This window comes from Homo sapiens, chromosome 8 (assembly GCF_000001405.40).
Source record: "Homo sapiens chromosome 8, GRCh38.p14 Primary Assembly".
NCBI lineage: Eukaryota > Metazoa > Chordata > Mammalia > Primates > Hominidae > Homo > Homo sapiens.
In genome coordinates this window covers 5,980,866-6,006,110 of record NC_000008.11, presented here as the reverse complement: position 1 = coordinate 6,006,110, position 25,245 = coordinate 5,980,866, and the positions used below count along the sequence as shown (strand labels likewise).

General features: G+C 36.0%; 1 long non-coding RNA gene across 6 annotated transcripts in view; it reads left to right on the top strand.

Moving 5' to 3' along the window:
* The first annotated feature begins 1,884 nt into the window (after positions 1-1,884).
* LOC105377795 (uncharacterized) overlaps positions 1,885-25,245 on the top strand; it is a 145,951-nt gene continuing 122,590 nt past the window's right edge. For 4 of the 6 annotated variants that reach the window (XR_941375.2, XR_941374.2, XR_001745765.1 and 1 more), the window contains exons 1-3: positions 1,891-1,973; positions 3,012-3,109; positions 4,549-4,674. This is a non-coding gene — a long non-coding RNA (uncharacterized LOC105377795). The other 2 variants (XR_001745766.1, XR_001745767.1) reach the window with 2 other exon arrangements.

Sequence of the window (25,245 nt, the reverse complement as noted above, 5' to 3'; positions counted from 1 at the left end):
GCTAATTAAACCTCATTTCTTTATAAATTATGCAGTCTCGGGTATTTCTTTATACCAGTGTGAGAACAGACTAATACGCTTGGCTTTGGGTTAAGTTGTAAGTTAATTCCAGCATAAGGAGATAGAAAATATTTGTTTTTTTGTGATAATGGAAACTGTCAGAGACAATTCGAGTTTTTATAGTGTTACTGAGGACAAGACCTAGTTTTTAACTTAATCTTTGTACTCTAAGTATTTTGCAAGTGCCTGGTAATTAGTATGTGCTTAATGATATTTATGGAGCAAATATATAAAAGTTTGTGGAAACATCATTGTATCATTATATTAAAGCCTTCAATATATGATTGTTATTTGGTGCAATTTACAAAACTAGCATTTCTTAGTAATAATTTGTGTCTTGAATTGTTCGTTGGGTTTGCAAGTAAGTATTTTCCAGAAATTGCTGGGTATGCATTATTACCATTGAGAGCCAAGAGCTAGATCAATTCTCAGATGCTGTGTGAATGCACACATTACACACCATCTGTATTAAAATTCATTTTAGCTCTTCTACATGAACACAATTTTTTGCACAATGAAGTTTACTTCTTTGGGAATGAAAATTTATTTTGATAATTCTAAATGAGAGTCATTATAAAATTATTTCATGACAAACTGCCAATTCTTATTCTTTTTTATTAAGTTTAGATGTTGGCATAGTTGAAGAGCTAACAGTATTAAAATCATATAATAAAAACTGGCAATTGTTTACACTATACCTCCCTCATCCCCATCTGGATAATAGATTTCAGTTACTTTTGCTCTGTAGTTAATTAGGTCTTTACTTCTAAGTATTATACTGCTTTAAAAATATATTCATTTAGGCATTATTTATTGGTTTCCTTCTATGATGAAAATTTAACTCCCTTTTATATCTTTCTCACAATTTTTCTTTTCTTGTGCTTTTAATATGCCTGTATTGCATTTTTTTGAAATAACAGCCAGTATTTTACATATGTTCATGGCTGAACAAAGTAATGGGCTCCTGACCTTTTTTTTTTCCTATAGTAAATTGTTACCTCAATTTGCTATAGTTTCCTATGTTCCCATTGCTAAAAAAATAAATAAAAATGGTAGTTACTGTTTAGATACATCAAGGTCAACCACCTATAATTTAGTTGAAACTTAAGTCCTCCCAATTTCCTGGATGTTGTAACTCTAAACACAAACAAAATGCAAATGTTACTTATTTGTCCAACAAATGTTTAAGCATTCCACTTTCTTCACAACCCCATCAGCATCTGGTTTTTTTTTTTTTTTTTTTTTTTTTTTTTTTTTTTTTGCTTTTTATTAATAACCATTCTGGGTGGTGTCAGATGGTATCTCATTGTGGTTTTGATTTGCATTTGTCTAATGATCAGTAATTTTGAGCTTGTTTTCATATGCTTGTTGGCCGCATGTATGCAAAAGACCACTTTCCTAGAGATTTCTGTTGCCCTCTAGGGCAGGTGTTCTGTGGGACTGCCTTCTTTGTAGAATTCATTCTGGTTCTTATTTCTTAGGTCCTTTTTTCCAGGTTTACTACTTCATTTTTTGAAGCAAATGCTCAAGTAACTTCTTTGGGAAAGGTGCAAGGAAGGTAAAATATTGCATGTCAACATTTAAAAAGTTATACCCTTACTCTTGATGGAAGGTCTAGCTGAATATACAATTTAAACAATTTAAAGGCAGAGGTTCCCAAACTTTTGGGCACCGGGGACTGGTTTCATGGAAGACAATTTTCCCACAGACAGGGTCGGGGGGCATTCGATTCTCATAAAGAACGTGCAACCTAGAACCCTCGCATGCACAGTTCACAATAGGGTCCGCGCTCCTATGAGAATCTAATGATGCTGCTGATCTGACAGGAGGCGGAGCTCAGGCAGTAATATTTGCTCACCCTGCCCCCCATCACCTCCTGTTGTGCGGCCCGGTTCCTAGCAGGCCACGGACTGGTAGGGGTCCACCACACCCCCTGGGGGTCGTGGACCCCTGGTTTAAGATGTTTCTTTACTGTTTTTCTGCTCCTTTTCCTGCTGTTGAGAATTTTGATTTCCCTTGTTTTCGTGGTCTTGTATTCTCTTTCTGGAAGCTTTTACTATTCATGATCTTTTATCTCTGCATTTTAAACCTTCACAATGACATGCTTTATTGTGAGTCTTTAAATTTTAACTTGTGCTGGGTACTCAGGAATTTCAACTTGGAAAGTCATATCATTCAGTTTAGGAAACTTTTTGCATATCATTTTTAGATAATTTCATAACCTCCATTTCTCTATTCTTTATGGAGCTATTTTTATCCTCAAAATTTTCTGTTCTCCTTTATTTTCACCTGTCATTTGATTTTGTTTTGTTGTTGTTCTATCTCTCATGTCTTCTGGTACTACTTCTATTTTCTTTTGTGCCCAATTTGCCCATCCATTGAGGCTGTAGTTTTAAATATTATTAAAAATATTTTTCAGGTATAGAATGTGTATTGATTCTTCATATCGTAGATTACAATTTCATCAAAATCTTCGTCTTTTAGTCTCTTCTGTATTTTTTTTCTGGTTTTTGAACATATAAGTCATACATATTTTTAAATCCTTGTCTACCAATTCCAATATTGTTATCTCTGTGGGTCTGCTTTTGTTTTCTGTATTTTTCTCTTGATTATTGTCCCTAGGGTTCTATCGATTCACACGTATAGATTTTTTTTTTGAATGTTAGACATCATGTATGAAAGAGCAGTGGAGAATACATATGATTTTATCTCCTTTCTTCTGCTAGGTAGAGGGAGTGGGGGCTGATCTCCACGACCCAGTAAAGGACATGGCTGGTTGTGCTTTGCTAATGTTCATTGTTCCTGAGCTTCATGTGTGTTCCTAGGAAAAGGGCCTTGGTGACATTTCCATTGTGAGTCTCGAGGGGCTTTGTCTCCTCAAGACAAAGAGACTATGAAAATTTTTCCTCTCTGTACTACTCTACAGCCTTGTTTTCAAACTTACTCCCTAGCCTCCTGCTTTGCACTGCTTCAGAAGTTGGCAAACATCTTGAGGGAAGCCTGGCTCTGTTGACACTCCTGGTCTCCAGTTTTGACATCCTAGCCCCAGGTAAGCAGCAGAATCTCCACTGTTTGTTTTCTGCCTCCAGCTGTGGCTTCTGCCTAAACTAAAGCCAAATTCTTAATGGTTTGGCAAATGGCTTCAGGGAAATGTTCTGCAAATTCTCAGCTCACCTTTGAACATTTCTTCCCTCTCTGGACTTGATGCCTCTGTAGTCCCTGTTTATTCTGAAGCTCTCTGATGCCTTTAACACCACACTTTCTGTTGTAACTCTCCCAACTCTTCTTTCTACTTGTTCTAAGCTATAGCTTTCACTTGCTGTACATTGTTCTGTATAATTGGAAATGGAAATTCTATGTATTGGGAAGGTTCTTAGGTCCAAGTAAGACTATCTTGAATGTTTACATTTATTTTTCTCTCTCTCAATATCATCATCTGTCTCGCTCAGATATGCCCAATTTTCCAAAGTTGCTATATAGGGACCCTCCCACCAAACACATGCTTATTGTCCTATGACATACCATCTTTGATATTCTTCTCTGATGTTATGATCTGATAAACTAAATGGAAGAATCTGGGTAGAATGCTAAAGGGCTTTAGTTCACATTTCTAGATTTTAGAGTTTAGTGCCAGATAGAATTTCTAGCTTCAAGCTCCCTCTTGGACCCACCCTGGCTCTTTTAGCTTCCCAGGGCTCCAGTGAAATGTAACTCAGTGGTTGGAGCCAATATGCCTCCCTGAGAAGACCCTAAAAGCCTGTGTTCTAATTTTTTGTCTTTCACTTTCATCATTCATGGAGTTAGAAATAACTACTTTCAAATGCCACCCTTGAAACTTACTAAGTGTGGCTTTTGGCAATACTCTGAGACTGCTTTCTTATTGGGAAAGTAGAAATAATGTACAGATCATTAACTGAAGATGAAACACAATAATTTAACCCCCCCAGCACAGGGCCAGGAATACAGTCAGCACTCAATAAATGCCCATAGTTCCACAGTCCCTGTCCCATATGGACAAAAGGGAGGAGATTACAGAAGATGTGCGAATGACACAGATACTGCAAGGGTGCCTGCCAGTTTGGTCCACTACAAACTCTCCATATGTAAGGCAGCCCTTGATATCTCTCCCAGACTTAAGCTAAAACGGGAGGAGAGGAGGACATGGACAACACCGACAGCACTTTCCTATCTTGTCAAAAAGAGAGATTGGGCCAATGCCTTTGCCTGAGTAATGAAAATATTGACAAGAACCCATCTCTTGAGTGGTTTAAAGCCCAAGCTGAAAGCAATAAATGAGAACAGAGGAGTTCCAGAAATTTCTCTGCTTTTTGTTTGCAGCCTGTGAACATATGGTCAGAGACGTTCTGCTCCCTTGGCTGAATCACAGTGCTAACGAGGCGGAGATCCCTGAATGAGTCACTTAGCTTCTAGCTGGGGTGGGGGACAAAAAAACAAAAAAACACAAAAAACTATGTTTTTCTTTGACAGATGATGCACCTAAAGTTGAAAAGCTGACTTCCACCTCCTGGGCAACGTGGCTCAGGTTTGTGCGCAGGTCAAGACAAAACTGATGTCAACACCAGGAATGAAGGAGAAATCTGTGGCTTAATGAAGGTGAGTGACAGTACCTTCTCAGATAGGTCACTGAGTACTCCTTCATTAATATCGGCAAGGACTATTTACATCCCAAACAATATGAACCATAGCAATACCTATAGCCTCAGACATTTTTATTGTATGTATTTTTAAACCTTATAGGGGTTAGATGTTACTTACGGGTAAGGGGCTAAAGCTGGCTGAGGTTCAGGGTTTACACGCTCTGGCTTTGAGATGATCCTTTGAGTTTGCCTGCAGTGTGGACTTTAGCTTTAACACTGTTTATCTTTATAACTGCTTTGGGTTTAGTGCTCCAAAAAGTACTGTAATTTGCATATCATTTTTAGCTTGAAGACACTGGATGTAGCCACATTCTTTTATCTCATAACTTAGATGAACAACTTGAAAGTTTATTTATAATTTTCCATTTAACTTTCTGTGTATCTGTATTAGAACAAACAAGATTTTATGTTATTAGAACAAAGTAAGTGCAGACTAATTCTAAGGTTTTGTCCAGGAAGGAAAAATGGAACCTTTACTTAATTTTTTATTTTTACTTGGCTCGTGTTATCTCCACACAAAACCTGCTAAACAGCTATTTCTTATTTTCAAATCTCGTTAATGCCAATAAAGACCTTGGGAGAACCCGTGGTTTCAGATGTAACATCTCCCAGCACGTTGGAGTGAATTCTGTCACATTTGTGTTACTTTTCTCAGAGTGCAAGCCACGCATTTGACTCTTTGGGAGAATTTTGGCTTGAGTTCATAGTAACTCAGTTAGGGAGACTGAGGCTCAGCTCCTAGAGACAGGACTGTGGCATTGCTTGGCACAGTTGACAAGGTGTCAGAAGTAGTCGACTTGTGGTCTTCTGGAGAGTTGACCTTGGGCATCCATCTTGGGCCTCAGTTGACTTTGTCTTAGAGGGGGATGGTGCTTGTCCACCTTGTCCAGTCTGCCTGACAAGGGTGTTATGGACGTTAATAAAGTAAACTGAGATGCCTGGAATATGTGAATATGCTAAGGATAAGTCATTATTATAATTCCAGTCAACAATAGGTGGGTAATTTATCCATGGTGATAAGGAAATGAAAAGTATTCAGGTTTATGCAAATGTGTAGTGTTGGTAATATGAATGTACATAGCACCATCTATATGGCTTGGGCTTCACATTATCTCTGTGGTGGGCCTTTCCAACTCCAGCTGTTAGTATCATGTGCAAGTCAATTCCATCTTCCCACTGAGCCATGGATGACACAGGTGCCCAGACCCTTGCTGGTGATTTTCCTGCCACTTCCGATCCAACCTGTCCTTCAAAGTCCATCTTAAATGCCACTTCTTCATTCATCTTCCTAGGTTTTCTTCTTGTCTCATCCAGAGGAGAACATTTCTTTGTCCATCAAATTCCCATTGCAAATTGTCTATAATACCTTTACAGCTCTTACCACTTCCTGCTTTATATGAGTTAAACTCTTGCTTTGCTGTTAGACCATTGGCTCCTGAAATGTGTAAAATAAATAAACTGAATAAAAATAGAATGCACTTAGTAAAGTCTGTGCCAGGAGCTGTGTTAAACTTTATACACTAATTACCTTGTTGAATCCTCACAACGATCCTATGCATGCAGTCCTATTATGATCTGTATTGTATAGATGAAGAAACTGAGGGTGATTGAATTTAAATCATTGGTTCACTGTCGCAAAATGGTTCAATGGTAAATTCAAACCCAGGCAGTCTGTCTTCACAATCTGTCTTAATCAGTTTGGGTTTTAATAACAAAACTGGGGGGCTTATAAACAAATGAAATCTATTTCTCACAGTTCTAGAGGCTGGAAGTCCAAGTTCGAGGTGCTAACAGATTTTGTGTCTGGTGAGGACCTACTCTCTAGTTCAGAGTTGGTCATCTTTTCTCTATGTCCTCACATGGCAAAAGGGGTGAGGGGGCACTCTGGGGTGTTTTTTGATAAGGGCACTAATACTATTTGGGAGGGCTGCACCATTATGACCTAATCATGTTCCAAAGGCCCCACTGTCAAATACCCTCACACTGGAGATATGGTAGCAACATATGAATTATGAGGGAACACAAATACCCTCCAGCTTTCACATACATAATGTTCTCAGCTGATAATTATTTTGTCTTATGAAAGAACACAGCTATCGCTGAGTAGTCTCTAATGAAAATAAGGTTTTTTTTTTTTGAGATAGAGTCTCGCTCTGTCACCCAGGCTGGAGTGCAGTGGCACTATCTTGGCTCACTGCAGACTCCTCCCCCCAGGTTCAAGCAATTCTCGTGCCTCAGCCTCCCGAGTAGCTGGGACTACAGGCACACATCACCACACCTGGTGAATTTTTGTATTTCTAGTAGAGATGGGGTTTCACCATGTTGGCCAGGCTGGTCTCGAACTCCTGACCTCAGGTGTTTCACCCACCTTGGCCTCCCAAAGTGCTGGAATTACAGGCGTGAGCCACTGCACTTGGCCATAAATAATAATTTAATAAAAGATTTGCCCTTAGGAAAAATGTGGTAAAGTTTAAAAAAGGCAAAATATTGAATTTTAGCTAATTATAAAATAGCATTTTATACCTTGAGAGTAGATCAACTAAAACAGCTTTACTGTGTGCTTTAAACTATCTTAAGTTGTCTTGTTAAACTATTCTTAAAGTACAGAATTCTATTTTATTTTCTGTTTTTGAATTGTTCCCTCTACCAACTGATGTTTGGCTTAGTCCAGACACAGTGGATTTGACTTTGTGTATAAACTTAAGGATCTTTCTTGGCTACAATTTTCTCAGTCATGTTTGTGATTTTTTCCCCTTTATTTCCTGGGACTAGAGGCCTCACAAAGAAATAGTTGATTTCTCTGATGGGGGATTTTTGCTTCAAAAATTTTTAAGCCTTTTTTTTTTTTTTTTTTTTTGAGTTAGGGTCTCTCTCTGTCACCCAGGCTAGAGTGCAATAGCACGATCAAGGCTCACTGCTTTCACTGTGACTCTGTCTCTTCCCTTCTGTCTGTATCAAACCACGCTTTGCTTTTCGCCTCTGAAGAATACATTGGCCCCACCTGAATAATGCAGGATAGTCTCCTCTCAAAATCCTTAATTTCACATCTGCAAAATTTTTTTTTTTTTGCTATCTAAGGTAACATTCACCAGTTTCAAATACTAGGGCATTAATATCTCAGGAGTCATCATTCAGTTCTCAGTGGAATTAAGCCACATGGCAATATTAATTAATGTGACTTTATTAGTTAATACAGATTAGTGGGTTGTCTTCCCTTATCTAGCCTACTTCTTTACTTCCTCATAAAGTTCCCTGGGATCATCTCCCAAAGAAGCCACTCCTACCTAAATCTTTGTCTTGGAGCTTGCTTTTAGGAGAAGCAAGACCAATGTAATATCATAAAGAGTGATTTTAAATCTCTTTTCTCAGTAATTGGTGAGTAAAACAAAAAATCTTAATAAGAATAAATAATATTTGAATGATTCAATTAGCTAGATTCCATGGATTTGTATTATAATAGCTAATACTTATATAACATCTAATATTCACTAGGCATTTAACCGATATGCTAATGGAATCTCAGAGAGGTTAAAGTAATTAGTCCAAGATCACAGAGCTGGTGAATGTGGGAGTTATGATTTAGAGTCTGTGTCTTAATCATTTTCCTATATTGCTTCTGAAAAACCACAATCCTTGCACAAACGATGACTGCACAAACAATTTCACAACACAAAGGACATTTACAAAGATCGAATATCTACTAAGTCGCAATGAAGACCCGATAAACTCCAAGAATCAATACTGAAAGAACACGTTCTGGAACCAAAATGGATTATAGAAACAATTTACGAACAGATTCAAAAGATCTCATAGTTTGCGAGACACACACAAACAAAACTACCACGTTCTCATTCATTTATGGTAAAAAATACCATGTATGTAATTAGAAAATACCTGTAACCTAATGATGATAAAAGCTGTGCACATTAAACATTACAAGATGTGGCTAAATTGCTATTTGTTTAGAAATTTAAATTTCTAAACAGAAAAGTAGACCAAGAAAGCACTGGAGGATTTTGTATTCCAGTTTTTATAAATAGAATAAGAACTAGAAACAGAAAGAACCAGCAACAAAAGTATACAGTTGAGGATATGGTAGCACATTAATACTGGAATAAAAAAAATCTGCCAGGCAGAAGCAGATACCTATTAAAAGAGGAGGTAAGAAAGTTTCCTTCGACTATGCTGTTCTTAATGTTGGTTAATCAGGAACTTCCAAAGGAAGGTAAACATCCTCCATTTCATAGATGATAAACAGGAACATAAGAACTAGATAAAGTATCAGAGTCTATTATTGAACCAGTGGAAAGAAATACCCAGGACAGCAGGTGATTTCCCCCAGGGCTGTGGATCCAGGGCTATGGTGTGACCACCGAGAGCTGGGCTTGCCTTCTGGATGAAGAGCTGGCCAGTGGGGGTACCAAGGACCCTCAGACTTGCTGACTGCTTTCTTATTTTTCTATTTTCCTGATACAGGTGGGCACAACTGATGCTTCCAGAATAAATCAGATAAAAAGCTGAAGGGCAACTGGGGAGCAGGCAGTATTTTCTTATATATTTCCAATTGAGGGTTGGGACTTTGGAAGAACAGGGCATTAGAATTGATTTTTATATATTTAATACGGCTAGAGTTAATGGCTTATAGATTTTTGTAACATTAGGCTCAGTTTGAGGTGTTGGCTTTGAGCCACAATTTCAAAGGACTTGGGAAGAATGCTGTTTTTCCCCCCTCAGTCAAACTGAGAAATGTCTTGGTAGGTTATTTTAGTTTACATGTGCACTTGAAAGACAAGATTTTCAGGTAACCATCATGTAAGTTTTGTATTTTTTTTTTTTTTGGGCACTTTACAACAGCATGCCTGGGATATTACTAATAGGAATATCAGTGAAGTATTCTGTGCTTGCCCAGAGAAAGTTCCTGCTCTCTGCTGCATCAGAGGCAATATGTATTTAAGAGTATATTTACATAGAAGAGATTAATTAATTTGTGATTACTTCAGTCTTTTCCTACTCCAGATCATTTGAGTAACGTCCCCCATTTTTTTCATGTTTTTGGGTTTGGAGATCTGTGTCTGGTGTCTGAAAGTGCAGATTCTAGTATTTCAACTCACGTGCATTCAAACTCTAGGAAATGATGGGAATTCACATTTCATTTTGTGAGTCAGATTTTAGGACCTTGGAATGATGGTTTTAAGCTTAGGAGAACTATAAAGAATGTGTTTATAAGAGAGATGCATATCTAATCCAAAGGTCTTATAATTGAAAAGGAATGGTGAAGAAAAATGACCAAAAAAGTAAAAGTAAATGATATGGAGATCATTGTTAGGATGCTGAAACAAAGAAACAACTACCACTAAAATAAAAGAAACAATAACAATGGAAGAAATGCACCAGTAATTCATAGGAACCATAATTAGGACAAGAATTGTATGTGGAATAGGCAGAAAGGACTGAAGATTTTACAAATACATTAATGGAGGAGGAAACACTTTGTTTCTTATTTTAACATTGAGATATAATTAAAATACAAAATATGTACAAATATTGAGTGTATAGTTCTATGAATTCACACAGACACAAACACACACACACACGCAAACACACACACACACACACCAGATTATGTTAAGAAGCATTTCCATCACTCTCAATGTTAATTGCTTATTTCTATCACCCTGGAACAGTTTTGCCTGTTCCAAACGTCATGTATTTTAAGAAGGCATTCTTTTGTGCCTGAATAAAGCCACTAGGAGCATTCTTGTGTACGTCTTTCAGTGTTCATATACACTCATTTTTCTAGCCTGTATCCCTAAGGTGGAATTGCTGGGTCCTTACGTGGACATACGGTTCACCTTTGTAGAGCCTGCCAAGCAGTTTCTCAAAGTTCTTCAATCAATTTACACTCCTGCCAGCAATGTCTGAGAGTCCCAGTTGCCAACAACCTTGCCAACACTTGATCTTTTTGGTCTTTTTAGGCATTCTGGTGCATTTGCTTTAATAGCTCCCTCTGTTTTTAATTTGCATTTACCTGCCAAGCACCTTTTTATGTGAGTTGGTTATATGGATATCTTCTTTTATGAAGCAACTGTCCAATGTTTTGGCAATTTAAAAAGTGAATTATCTTTTTTGTTTTCATTGGTAGGTGATATTTATGTGTTCTAGATATGTATTCCTTCTCAAATATAAGAATTATGACATTTTCTCCATTGTGTTGCCTATCATTTATCCTAATGGCATCTTTTGATGAACAGAAATTCTTAATTTTAATGAAGTCTTGTCATTTTTTTCCTTTGATGGCTAATGCACTTTTATATTCTTCAAGAACACTCTATTCACCCCAAGTTCATGAAGATATTCTCTGAAGCTTTCCTCTAGAAGTCTGCACATGTCAACTTCATATTTAGATAATGATTCACCTCTAATTATTTTTAAAATATGTATTGGGTAGGAATCCAGGTTCACTTCTTATTTTAGAAAGACCATTCAGTTTCTAGAGCGCCATTTACAGAAAAGGCCAGTCTCTCTCCATGGAATTGTATGGTGCTCTTGTCATAAATCAAGTGACAATACACGTGTGTCTATTTCTTTATTCTATTTTTTCCATTGGCCTGCTTATGTACCTTTTCTACCAATGTCACATTGTCTTTATTAGAATAGTTTTTAGTAAATCATTAGCTCTAGTGGTGCATGTTTTCTGATATTGTGTTTCTAGTTCAAGATTTTCTTGGTCATTCCACATTCTTTGCATTTCCATGTGAATTTTAGCATCAAATCTTATTAACCCTTACGGAAAAAATCTGCTGGAAATCTGTTTGGAATTACATTGCAGGTTTCGGTCAACTTGGGCAGAATTTACATCTTAAAACATTGAGTTTTTAATCCACAAACAGAGACTATCTCTCCTCTTATTTGTGCTTCGAAAATTTTTCTCAGCACTGTATTATATTTTTTGTATAGAGATGTTTCACATCTTGCCTTGGATTTTTTCAGTAGGTATTAGATATATGTAATGCTTTTATCAAAGCTATTGCTTTTTAAGCTTCATTTTGTATTGTGTGTTGTTATTTTAGAAAAATGTAATTTATATTTGTATATTGACTTTGCATGGATTAATTTCCCTAAAATCACCTATTAATTCAAATAATTTTTATAAATCCTTTTTTAAAATTTTGCCATGTTAAATAAATTTTGCTTCATCAAGGTGTGTTATTTGAAAAATATGTCGCTAGATTATCTTTAATAATTTTTGATGGATTTTTGAGATTCCATTTATGAAGATACTGGCTTATAATCTATGTATAATCATACTGTCTGTAAACAGAGTTTTACTTCTTCCTTTTCCATTTTTGTCCTTTTCATTTTTTCTTGTCTGATTGCGCTGGTTACAGTCAATACGACTGTGTTGAGTAGGGGTGGGGATAATAGCATCCTTTCCAGCCCACTGTTTCAATATTAAGGTATTAGCATTTTATTTTATTTTCTGAAAGTGTATTGTATTAGATTGGGGGAGTTTTCTTATACTTCTTTTTGATGATATGTTTATTATAAATGGGTGTTGAATTTTTCAAATGCTTATTTTCTGTATTTATTGAGGTAATTTATGTTTTTTATCCTACATATTGTTGATATGATCAATTAAATTGATTTGATTTTCAAATGTAAAACTAAACTTGCCACCTTCCTGGACTAAATCTCATTTGATTATGGGGTGTGTATGTGTGTGTATGTGTGTGTATGGTGTGTCTTCCCTGATTGTCTGTTCTATATTTGGGGGATTTTATATTTTATGTTCATGAGGCTGTTGATATATAATTTTCCATTTTGTAATTCTTTTGTGAGGTTTTGATATTATGGTTATCTTTGAAATGACTTCTCACATTTTCTATCTCCTAAAGGAATTTGTCTATGTTTCTTATTATTTTTAATTAATTTTTTTTAGTATCGCCCAGTTAAGCATTTTGGTTCTGAAATTTCATTTGTGAAAAGAATTTTACAAGCTGGGGTTGGTGGCTCACTCCTGTAATCCCAGTGCCTCAAGAGACTAAGAAGGGAAAATCACTTGAGACTAAGGGTTCAAGACAAGCCTAGTCAACTTAATGAGACCTCTTCTCTACAGAAATTAAAACAATTAGCAGGGCACGGTACACACCTATAGTCCCAGCTACTTGGGACGCTGAGGTGGGAAAGATCTCTTGAGCTCAGGAGTTTGAGGCTGTAGTGTGCCATGATCTTCTTGCCACTGCCTTCCAGCCTGGGTGACAGAGTGAGATCTTCTCTTTAAAAACAAACAAAAAGCAGAAAAAAATTTATGTATGATGTAATAGACTGCATGTTTCTATGTCCCCCAACCCCGAAATTCATCACCCCAAAGTGATTGTATTAGGAGATGGGGCCTTTGGAAGCCGTTTAGCTCATGAGGATGGAGCCCTGGTGAATGGGATTGGCATCCTTGTAAAAGAGGGGTCAGAATGATCCCTCGCTCCTTTCACCATGTGAGGCTGTAGCAAGGTGGTGTATGAGCCAGGCCAGAGGCCCCCCCTTGGCACAGAATCTGCTAGTTCTTTCATCTTAGACTATCCAGCTTTGGAACTAAGAGAGAGATTTCTGTTGTTACTAAGCCACCTAGTCTATGGTATTTTTGTTATAGCAGTTGAACAAACTAAGACATATAGATTCAATTTATTTAACAGATATAAAACTATCAAAATTTTCTATTTTGTGTTCTAAGTTATGTTCTTCAAAGAATTTAAAGAATTTAAGTCCTTATATTGGTAGGCAGACTATTTAAAATTATATCCTCTCATGCTCTATTTCATGTAAGTAGAATATTAGTGATGTTCTCTTTTACATACTTCATGCTAGTAATTTTATTTTCTTGACTAGCATCTTAGAGGTTTATTAGTTATTTGAAGAACTAACTTCTGGTATTGTTGATTTTCTCATCTTATTTTTTTTTACTATTGTTTCCAACTCTTCTATCTTCTGAGCTGGAATTTTAGATCATGTATTTTATATTTCTTTCTTTCTAAACTATGCCTTTAGTGCTATAAATTTCCTTCTCATCCATGCTTTATCTGCATTTCACATACTTTATGTTTCATTTTAATAATCATTGCAATTTCAATTGTGAATTTTTCTACAACTTGTAAGTTGTTTAAAAGTGTGGTGGCTAAGCATAGTGGCTCACACCATAATTCTAGAACTTTGGAAGGCTTATGCAGGAGGATTGCTTAAACCCAAGAGTTCAAGACCAGTCTGGGCAAAATAGTCAGATCCCATCTCTACAAAAAAACAGAAAAATGCCCAGGCGTGGTGATGTGCACCTGTGTGGTCACAGGTACTTGGGAGGGTTGAGGTGGGAGGATTGCTTGAACCTGGGAGGATGAGACTGCAGCAGTGAGCTATGATTGTGCCACTGCACTCCAGCCTGGGTGACAGAGTTAGACCCCTATCTCAAAAATAAAAAAATAAAAGTGTGCTGTTTAACTTCCATACATTTGGGGATTTTTAGTTATCTTTTTGTTATTGTTTCTAATTCAATTCCACCGTGGCAAGGAAACATAAACTGTATGATTATAATCCATTGGAATTTATTAAAACTTGTTTGATGACCGAATATGTATAGTCTCTTCTGGTAAAAGCTTCATAAGCAATATATAGGTTGAGAATTCTATAAATGTCAGCTAGGCCAACTTGGTCAATAATGTTCTCATTTTCTGTTTCATTATTAATTGTTTTTTAATATGCTTCTTCTATTATTACTGAAAAAATGTGTTAAAATCTCCAGCTATTATGGTGTATTTCTCAATTCTTTTGATCAATTTTTCCTTCATCTATTTTGAAATGAGGTCATGAAAGACATATTTTTTTAGGATTATTGTTGCTTCCTAATGCATTAACCTTTCTGTTATTAAGCAGTGTTTCTCTTCACCTCATTTTATGTTACTTGCCATGATGTCTATTTTTTTCTGAATTATTATTATCGCAATACACTGTCTTGTTTTATTTTCATATTCTGTGTCCGTTTTTCTCCATTTTAAACTGTCATTTGCTCTGTGTCCTTATGTTTTAAATGTGTCTCCTATAAATACATGGTGGCATCTTAGTTTTTTGTTTAATCCAACCATGTCTGTCTTAAATTTGCACTTAGTCTGTTTACATTTAGTATAATAAATAATATGGTGGATTTAAGTCTACCGCTTTGTTATTTGTTTTTTATTTTTTATGTTTGCTCATTGTTCTTTTATGTTGCCTTTTCGCTTCTTTCGTTTTAATCAGTGTTTTATTGATATACATTTATCTCATCTATTGACTATGTAGAATTCTTTTTGGGGGCTATCATTCTGTTAGTGGTTAATCAAGAAAGCATAACATACAAGTTTAACTTACAAGTATCTTAAAAGTATATTTTCAGCACATCCCAACCAATGCAAATTCTTAAAACACTTAACTCCATCTTCCTTTTAAAATTTTTTATTGCTATAGTTTCATACATTTCACTTCTACATCTACTATAAACCCTAAAGGCATGTGAATATTAATGTCTCTTTAAGTAATCACTAGTATTTTAAGTTTCTGAAGCTCAAAGACAAAGAGGAAATGCCAGCAGCCTTCTGAGGTATTTTTTGTTTGTTTCTTGTTTTTTGTTTTCTCTCCAGTTCTTCCTTGTTTGGAATCCTATCCCCGAATCTTTGCTGCTTTAGTAGCCCCAAACTAAACTCTGTCTTCTCCAACCAGTGAGACCTCTCTGAGCCATAGCCTAGAAAGCACACCCACAGAGGAAGACTGAATGTGGGCAAGCCTCACGTCTCCTGTTTTTCAGGTGTTGCAGCCGTCTTGACAGGCCTTGTCTTGAGGAAGCAGTTGTTTCCTCCATTTTGTTTAGGTTTTACTCTTGTTGATGGTGGGAGGATGTCTAATGCCAGCTAAACTGTACTGGAAGCTAGCATTACTTTGCTTCTAGTTACGAAGACTTGATTGTGCTTGTATGCTATTGATTTTCCTTACATCAGTGTTTGTATTTTCATTACAACTTTTATCCACTGAAGAAAATGAGTGAAGGCTTTCAATGTTTTGTAACCATGGTGATCTTCATCTCCCTCCAGCTGAAAGGCTTGGATTCTACTGGGATTCTACTGGGATTGACTACATTTGATTTGATATGAGCTAATAATAGCCAAGTATTATTTCAGTCAAAATAGCCCAGACATTGATAACTAAACTAATGATTAATTAGAGATTTCTTATATTTATTGTCTTGCTGGGGTCAGAGGACAAGATGTTACTCATCCACATGCAGTTGTCCTAGAAAGTGGTTAATCCCAGGACAGGGAATTGTTACTTGGAAGTAGCCCTTAGACTGGGGAAACAGCGTAATGCTCTTTCTTCTCTTTGAGTTTCGTGACTGTTGGAGCTGAACTCTGGGTATGGTGGATCAGTTTAAGGAAGCTTCCTTTGGAAGGGGGTAGGCTGGTCTCAGCATATGATGAAAAATGGTGACTAAATATTGAACATCCTTTCTGGGATTTCCTGATAGTGGTCTGGGTCAGGACCTATGAATTTATATTAGCAGTTTTAAGTTACTCTGTCTGAATTATTCCCAAGCCAATAGGAAAGCCTTGGTAGAAGACAGATCCTGATTTTTCTTATTGTGTGTAAAATTAAGGGAAGGCATTCTTCCATCTTTTAGATAAAGTTACAGAGGGGAGGGAAGAGGCTGCTTGAAGGAAGGCAGTTCAGAGGTGTAGGCAGTTATCAGCACAACGAACAGTGGCCTGAGGAGCAGAACTAAGAACTAGAGTAGAAAAAATTATGACTAACATTTGAATAGGGCCTGTGGGTACATGCTTCAGAACCCAAAAGTTCCATTCCTTGATAATATCTTTGAGGAAGTCTCATGTTCATAAACAGGTCAAAGATTATTTGTAGCAATGTGTTTATAAAAGCAAAAACAATTGTGTATGCAAACAAAAGCCAAAATAATAAAACAAATATAGAAATAAAACGACAGTAAAACAAAAAAATCAATGGACAAAGGATTAAGTAGATAGAATTGTGACCTATTTATGAAATTGAACATCATGTGGCAAAGAGTACAAGTGAGCCCGAGCTACGTGTTTAAAATAGAAGCAACTGCTAGGAAAATATGATATTACATGAAGAAAGTTAGTTGCAAAACTCTATGTTATATAGGATGCCATAGATTGTTGGGGATAGAGATAAGTATGTATATATTATATATACTTGTGATATAAACTATAAGGAAATGTATATACATAATAAATGCTAACTGTGGGATAATTTCCTTTCTTCACCTCTGGGAAATAAAGAAAGAGAATGGGACTGAAGAAACCCAAGAAAGGAGGCATTAATAGCATTTACTAGGTTTTAATCTTTAAAAACATTTCTAAGCAAATATGACAATATTTTGTGAAGTGAGTAAGAAGTATAGGAGGTTTACTAAATTATTGGCTGTACTTTCTGTGTATTTTAACTATTTAATAATTAGAAATTATTTTAAAATGTAAATGTGGTCTGATTTTGCCACTAGAGATATATACTTGTTCCTGGAACAAAACAGCAATGAGGAAAAGGTGTGCGTACAACTTGTATCTAAAAAAGTAATACTGCAATGACAGCTGACCGAAAGAGTGGAAGCCCAGGTCTTGCATTTTTGGTCTTAGCGATCAAAGCCAAGTAAGACCTCATTTCTGTTCTCAAGGATCCCTCAGATTGGTAGATGCTGTGCATATTAGATCCTTGAGGATGTGAAACCATGAGGAAGAAATATTGACAGATTCAGATTCCCAAACTTATGTACAGGCAACAACGGTGAGTCAAATTTAACAAGATGACACTTTGCAGCAATAAATGCAGTTCCATTCCTGGATTCAGAATGAAAGTTGCTCAACACAGGATGGGGGGTCCTAGGTATTGGCAGAAGCCTGAAGTCCTAAGGATGGAATAATGTGTTGGCCAAATACAAAAAGGGCTACTGTAGAATGTGGAGGTGAGCCTTTTTCTGGGAGCTCCGGCAGGTTAAAGTATGGTCAGAAGTCGAAGGAGGGCCATTTAATCAGAGAATGTGGAACTGCTTGGACTTTTGAGCTCAGCGTATAGCAAAGGCATCCAGGTTCCCCTTTGTGTTCTCTCCCTGCTGATTTCAATCCACATAACAGGTGAACTGCCCTGATGAACTGCACCCCAAGCTGGCCAGTGTCAGCAGTGAACCACTGCTAAATGCACCTTCATTTTAACCCTGAGTCTACCTTGGTGAAGATAAAGAAGACTGTGCTTTGTGCGTAAAGCACTAAGAAGCAGCCCTTGGCCTCAAGCAGTAAAAATGATCGATGGTTATAACTCCCAAGGTGAAACTTTTGGAAGCCATGGTGATTATTTCAAAATACGACTACACTTTTAAAAAGTGCAGGATAAGTTGTTGGGAAAAGAATTCTATCCACTTTCTTTTGTTAATCAAAATGATTCATGAAAGGATGTGGGGAGGCAAGAATATTAAGAAAATATCATATTAAAAGTGGAAATTTAACCTTTTGTTAAGGTGAGACAGTAATGTATTACAATTCATTGGGATATACATACAATAAATATGGGAAATATATGCATGCATTTTTTTCATAAAACTCTGACTCTTTGAGAGAGAAGAGAAAGACTCCAGAGCACTGTTTTCACATTAATTAAAGAGTTCAATGCCTCTGTTTTTTTTAATATATATATATATATATCAACAGGCAAGATTAGAATAGATAAGACTGTTGCGGGAAGTCAGGGACCCCGAGTAGAGGGACTGGCTGGAGCCGAGGCAGAAGAACATAAATTGTGAAGATTTCATGGACATTTATCAGTTCCCAAAATTCATACTTTTATAATTTCTTACGCCTGTCTTTACTGCAATCTCTGAACATAAATGGTGAACATTTCATGGACATTTATCACTTCCCTAACAATACTCATAATTTCTTATGCCTTTCTTTAATCTATTAGTCACGTTATCTTCGTAACCTGAGAATGTACATCACCTCAGGACCACTATTGTACAAACTGATTGTAAAACATGTATGTTTGAACAATATGAAATCTGATTGTGAAACGTGTGTTTGAACAATATGAAATTAGTGCACCCTGAAAAAGAATAGAATAACAGTGATTTTCAGGGAACAAGGGAAGATAACCATAAGGTCGGACTGCCTGCGGGGTCGGGCAGAATAGAGCCATATTTTTCTTCTTGCAGAAAGCCTACAAATGGATGTGCGAGTAGGAGAGATATGGCTGAATTCTTTTCCCAGCAAGGAATAATCCTGGGGAAGGAATGCATTCCTGGGGCGAGGTCTATAGACAGCCGCTCTGGGAGTGTCTGTCTTATGTGGTTGAGATAGGACTGAAATACGCCCTGGTCTCCTGCAGTACCATCATACTTACTAGGATTGGGAAATTCCAGCCTGGTAAATTCTAGTCAGACTGGTTCTCTGCTCTTGAACCCTGTTTCCTGTGAAGATGTTTATCAAGACAATACATGCACAGTGGGACATAGACCCTCATCAGTAATTCTAATTTTGCCTTTTCCTTGTGATCTTATTGTCCTCTGAAGCATGTGATCCTTGTGACCTACTCCCTCTTTGTACACCCCCTCCCCTTTTAAAATCCCTAATAAAAACTTGCTGGTTTTGCAGCTCAGGGTCGGCATCACGGTCCTACCAATATGTGATGTCACCCCTGGAGGCCCACCTGTAAAATCCTCTCTTTGTATTCTTTCTGTTTGTTTCTCAGACTGGCCGACACTTAGGGAAAATAGAAAGAACCTACGTTGAAATATTGGGGGCTGGTTCTCCCGACATTAGACTGTATCCCAGGATGGAAGAATAATTCTGTTTCATGAAGCTTTTATTCAGTGCACGAGTGTGTGCATGTGTACATGTGCTCCTGTGTGCATGTGTGCATATGCATCTTGTAAAATATAGCTTGTTATGTAGAGGCATAATTTATATACAGTAAAATGCATAAATATTAGGGGCATAGTTCTACCATTTATACATATATGTATACACTCATGCAATCACGCCTGATTTAGATGTGTCCATTTTCAGAAAAAGTTTCTGATTTTTTACAACAAATTTATTCATCTTTAAATTTTAGCCCTCTTTCTTTATCTGCAATCACTTGCTGCTCTTTTTAAAAATCTCTGTTACTCAGCATCCTTTATCTTCTCTTCTCAGTTGTGTTTCTTTTTTTTTTTTTTTTTTTTTTTTTTTTGAGACAGAGTCTCGCTCTGTCTCCCAGGCTGGAGTGCAGTGGCGGGATCTCGGCTCACTGCAAGCTCCGCCTCCCGGGTTCACGCCATTCTCCTGCCTCAGCCTCCGAAGTAGCTGGGACTACAGGCGCCTGCCACTACGCCCGGCTAATTTTTTTTTTGTATTTTTAGTAGAGACGGGGTTTCACCGTTTTAGCCGGGATGGTCTCGATCTCCTGACCTCGTGATCCACCTGCCTCGGCCTCCCAAAGTGCTGGGTTTACAGGCGTGAGCCACCGCGCCCGGCCCTCAGTTGTGTTTCTTTTTTCAAATTTTAAAACAATTGCAAAGTTACAGCTGGTATGTTTAACACCAGCTGAACCTTTCATTTTAATTAAGATAAAATTCACATACCATAAAATTCAGCCACTGAAAGTATGTAATGCAATGGTTTAACATTTTTATCTTTTTTAAAATTTATTTTTAATTGACAAACAATAATTGTATAGATCTGTGGTGCACAATGTGAGATTCTGATATATGTTTACAATTCAGTGGTGTTTGGTATAGTCACAAAGTTTGAAATAATCACCACAATTTAATTCCAGAACAGTTTCATTGGTATAAACTCCACATTACACACCCTCCCTCAACCTCCTGACCCAGACCCTGGTAATTACTTATCTGTTTTTTAAAATTACTCTTTTGTTTATTTATTTATCAATTGGTGAACAGTTGGGTTGTTTCTACTTTTTGGCTATTACAAATGGTGCTCCCATGAACATTCATGGACAAGTTTATGCTTGGACACATTTTTATTTCTTTTGGTTCTATACTTAGCAGTGGATTTGCTATGTATGAACTCTATGTATAGCTTCTTTTAAATTTTTATTTTTAAAAATTGACAATAATTACACACATTCATGGGGTACATAGTGATGTTTCCATATATATATTTTATAGTGACCCGATCAGCATAATTAGCATATCCATAATCTGAAACATTTATTATTTCTTTGTGTTGGAAATGTTCAATGTATTTATAACTTTTTGAGTCATTACCAAACTGCCTTCCAAAGGGACTGTACCATTTTGCATTCCCAGCAGCAATGAAGGAGGGTTCCAATTTCTCTACATTCTCATTGTTCTTGTTAGTGTTCACTTTTTTTGATTATAGGCATCTCATCTGATATGGAGTGGTATGTCATTGTAGTTTTAATTTACATTATCTGAATGACTAACACATTGAACATATTTTCATGTGCTGATAAGTTACTGGTATGTCTTCTTTTGAGAATTCTCCATTTACATCCATTATGCATTTTTAATAGAATTATTTTTCTTTTTGTTGTTGAGTTGTAAGAGTTAAAAATACATATTTTTATATATTCTGCATAATAGTCCTTTAAAAGAGAGATAATTTACAAATATTTTTCCCATTTTGTTGGTTTTATTTTGAGTTTCTTGATTATACACTTTCAGGCATAAAAGCTTTAGAATTTGAAGTTCAATTCATTCATTTCTTTCTTTTGTTGCTTGTGTGTTTGGTGTCTTCCCCTGGGCTTTTCTTTGTGGAAAGTTATTTGATTAAGAATTCAATGTTTTCACATGTGTAGCCCTGTTCAGATTATCTATTTCTTCTTGACTCACTTTAGGTAGTTCATGTCTTTCTGGAAATTCATCCATTTTAATCAAGTAATTTAATTTGTTGTCATAAAATTGTTTATATGATAGTATTGCCTTATAGGCCATTTTATTTCTGTAATTGATAGTAATGTTCCATCTTTTATTCTTGAATTTAGTGTTTTGAGTCTTCTCTTTTTTCTTTGTCAGTGTAGCCAAAAGCTTGTCAATTCTGTTGATCTCAAAGAACTGGTTCTTTGATTTTCTCTATTGTGTTTATATTTTCTATATTGTGTATTTCTACTCTAATCTTCATTAGTTTTTTCCTTGTGCTTGTTTTGGGTTCAGTTTGCTCTTTGTTTTTTCTTTAAGTTTTAAGATGGTTATTGATTTGAGATCTTTTTTTTTAATGTAGTTGTCCTATAAGTTTTGGTGTGTAGTGTTTTCATTTTCACTCATGTTAAAATATTTTTATATTATCTTTGTGATTTCTTATTTGACCTATGATTATTTTAGAGCAGGTTATTTAATTTCAGTGTATTTTGAGTTTTTCAAAATTCTGTTTATTAATGATTTCTAATTTCATTCTAATATAAAGAAAATGCTTTGTAAGATTTCATTCCTTTTGTATTTATTGATTTATATTATGACATAATACATGGTCTATGCTGGTGAATGGTCCATGTGAATTTGAAAATAATGTATATTCTGCTATTGTTGGGTGGAGTGTTCTGTAGATGTCTGTTATGTCTAGTTAATTGTTGGTATTATTCAAAATCATCTATTTTCTTGTTAATCTTCTGCTTAGTTGTCCTATTCATAATTTAAAAAGTGAGGTGGTAAAGTCCCCAATTACTTTTTTTTACATTATTTCTCCTTTCAATTCTTTCAGTTTTTTCTTCACATATTTTAGGATTCTGCTGTTCAGTTGTTTGGTGCATAAATTTTTATAATTTTTATTGATTTTTGATGAAGAAACAAACATTTTGAGGCTTTCATCATAATAAAATGATAACTTTATTTCTGTCTTTGTATTTATTGACAGATTTTGGCTTAAGGTCAATTTTTTCTGATTTTAACATAGCCACGATCTCTTTTAATTATTGTTTTAATGTATGATTTATTTATTTATTTATTTTACTTTTAAGTTTATTTCTGCCTTTGGACCTAAATCGTGTTTCTAAATTGAACCCAGGAGGTGGCTCACTGCAACCTCCATCTCCTGGGTTCAAGTGATTCTTGTGTCTCAGATTCCTGAGTAGCTGGGACTACAGATGTGTGCTACGATGCCAGGCTAATTTTTGTATTTTTAGTAGAGATGGGGTTTCACCATATTGACCAGGCTGGTCTTGAACTCCTGACCTCAAGTGATCTACTCACTTCAGCCACCCAAAGTGCTTGGATTACAGGCATGAGCCATTGTGACCAGCCCAATTTTAAATCCCTGTCTTTTGCTGGAGTATTTGGTCCATTTACATTTAATGTAATTAATGACATAACAACGTTTGTATCTAATTTTTTGCTATTTGTTTATTCTATGACATGTCATTTTTGATCTGCTATTTTTTCATTGTTGCCTTCTTTTAGGCTAAAACTTTTTAATATGCCATTTTAATCTCCTTGTGCTTTCTTTTACTGTATCATTTTTTTGAGTAATTTTCTGTCTTTCTTTCTTTTTTTTTTTTTTTTTGAGATGGAATTTTGCTCTTGTTGCCCAGGCTGGAGTGCAATGGCATGAATGTGTGATCCTGACTCACCGCAACCTCCACTTCCTGGGTTCTAGTGATTCTCCTGCCTCAGCCTTCCGAGTAGCTGGGATTACAGGCATGCACCACCATGCCTGACTAATTTTTTGTATTTTTAGTAGAGACAGGGTTTCTCCATGTTGGTCAGGCTGGTCTCGAACTCCCAACCTCAGGTGATCCGCCCGCCTCAGCCTCCCAAAGTGCTGGGATTACAGGCGTGAGCCACCACGCCTGGCCTTTTTTTGAGTAATTTTCTTAATGATTTTCCTTAGGAATATAATTAGCATTTGTATTTATAACAATCTCTATTGAATTAGGACAAACTTAATATATACAAAAACTTTGCTTTATGTTAGCTCCAGTTTCTTTCTCCCTTGTTTGTGCTATTGTTGTCATACATGTTACATCTTCATACATTTTATGCTGATCTACATAGATGTGCAATTATTACTTTGTGCAGTTGTCTTTTAAGTAAGATAGTAAAGGAAAAGTATTAGAAACAAAAAAACACATTTATCCTGTCTTTTATATCTACCTATGTGCTTACATTTACAGGTGCTTTTTATTTCTTCATGTAAATCCCTTTAGTATTACTATTATGGAAGTTTAGTTAACACATTCTCTCACATTTTGTTTATCTGAAATATCTTCTAGTTTATTTTTAAATATTAATTTTGCTGGATATAGAATTCTTCATTGACAGTCTTTTTCTTTATGCACTTTGAATGATACATCACTGTGTTCTGTAGGGCTTCAAATGAGAAATCAGCTGTTTATCTGTTAAAGGATCTCTGGTATATGAAGTCACTTCCATTGCCCTTTTTGAAATTATCTTTTTGTCTTTGTCTTTCAGCAGCTTAACAATTATGTGCCCAGGTATGTATATCTTCAATTTTCTCTCATTTGGAGTTTGTTATGCTTGTTGGATGTGCAGATTAATATTTTTCATAAAGTTTGGACGTTTTTAGATATTATTTCTTTAATTATTCTTTTTGCTTTTCTTTATTTCTTCTCTCCTTCTGCAAATCCCATTGTGCTTATGCTGATATTCTTGACTGTGTCCCACCGGTATCTAAGATTGTTCATTCTTTTTTTTTTTTTTGGATCATCAGACTGGCTGGTCTCAATTAATCTGTCTTAAGATTAATTTATTATTTTGCCCACTCATCTCTGTTTTTGAGGTTCTCTAGTTAATTTTTCATTCCAGCTATTGTGCTTTTTGACTTCATAATTTGTATTTGGTTCTTTTTATAGTTTGTTTATTGATATTCTTTATTCAGTGACACAGCCTTATAAATAAATTCCTTTACTTCTCTAAACATGATTTATGTAAGTTCTTTGAACACATTTATATTAGTTGATTTTGAATCTTTCTCAGGTAAGTCCACATCTGAACTTCTTCATAGAGAGTTTCTAATCTAGACCTTTTCAGGGATAGTTTCTATTGATTGTCTTTTTTTCTCCTGTATATGTGCAATATTTTCTAGTTTCTTGGTTTGTCTTATTACTTCTTGTGGAAAAAAATGGACATTTAAATAATGTTCCAGCTCTGGAAACCAGATTCTTCCCCATTCCAAGGGTTTGTTGTTATCATTATTTTTTCTGTTTGTTTAGTGACTTAACTAAGCTAATTCTTTCAACTCTGTATCCTTTGTCGTATGTGGCCACTGGTGTCTCCGCACAGTTAGCTGAATGGTTAGCTAGTGTTGGGACAGATATTTCTTAAATGCTGGACTCATGAAGCTTCTCAGTCTTTGCTGAAAGGTTCTGTATATGTATTGGTACATGACATCAAAACTCCCCTAAGCACTTTCCAACTCTGCCTTACCCTTCACTTCCTGTTCGATCAGAGCTTCAAAATCAGTCAGTGGTGAGGACTTAGGGCTTTGCCAGCTCTTTTTTAAGCATTCACATA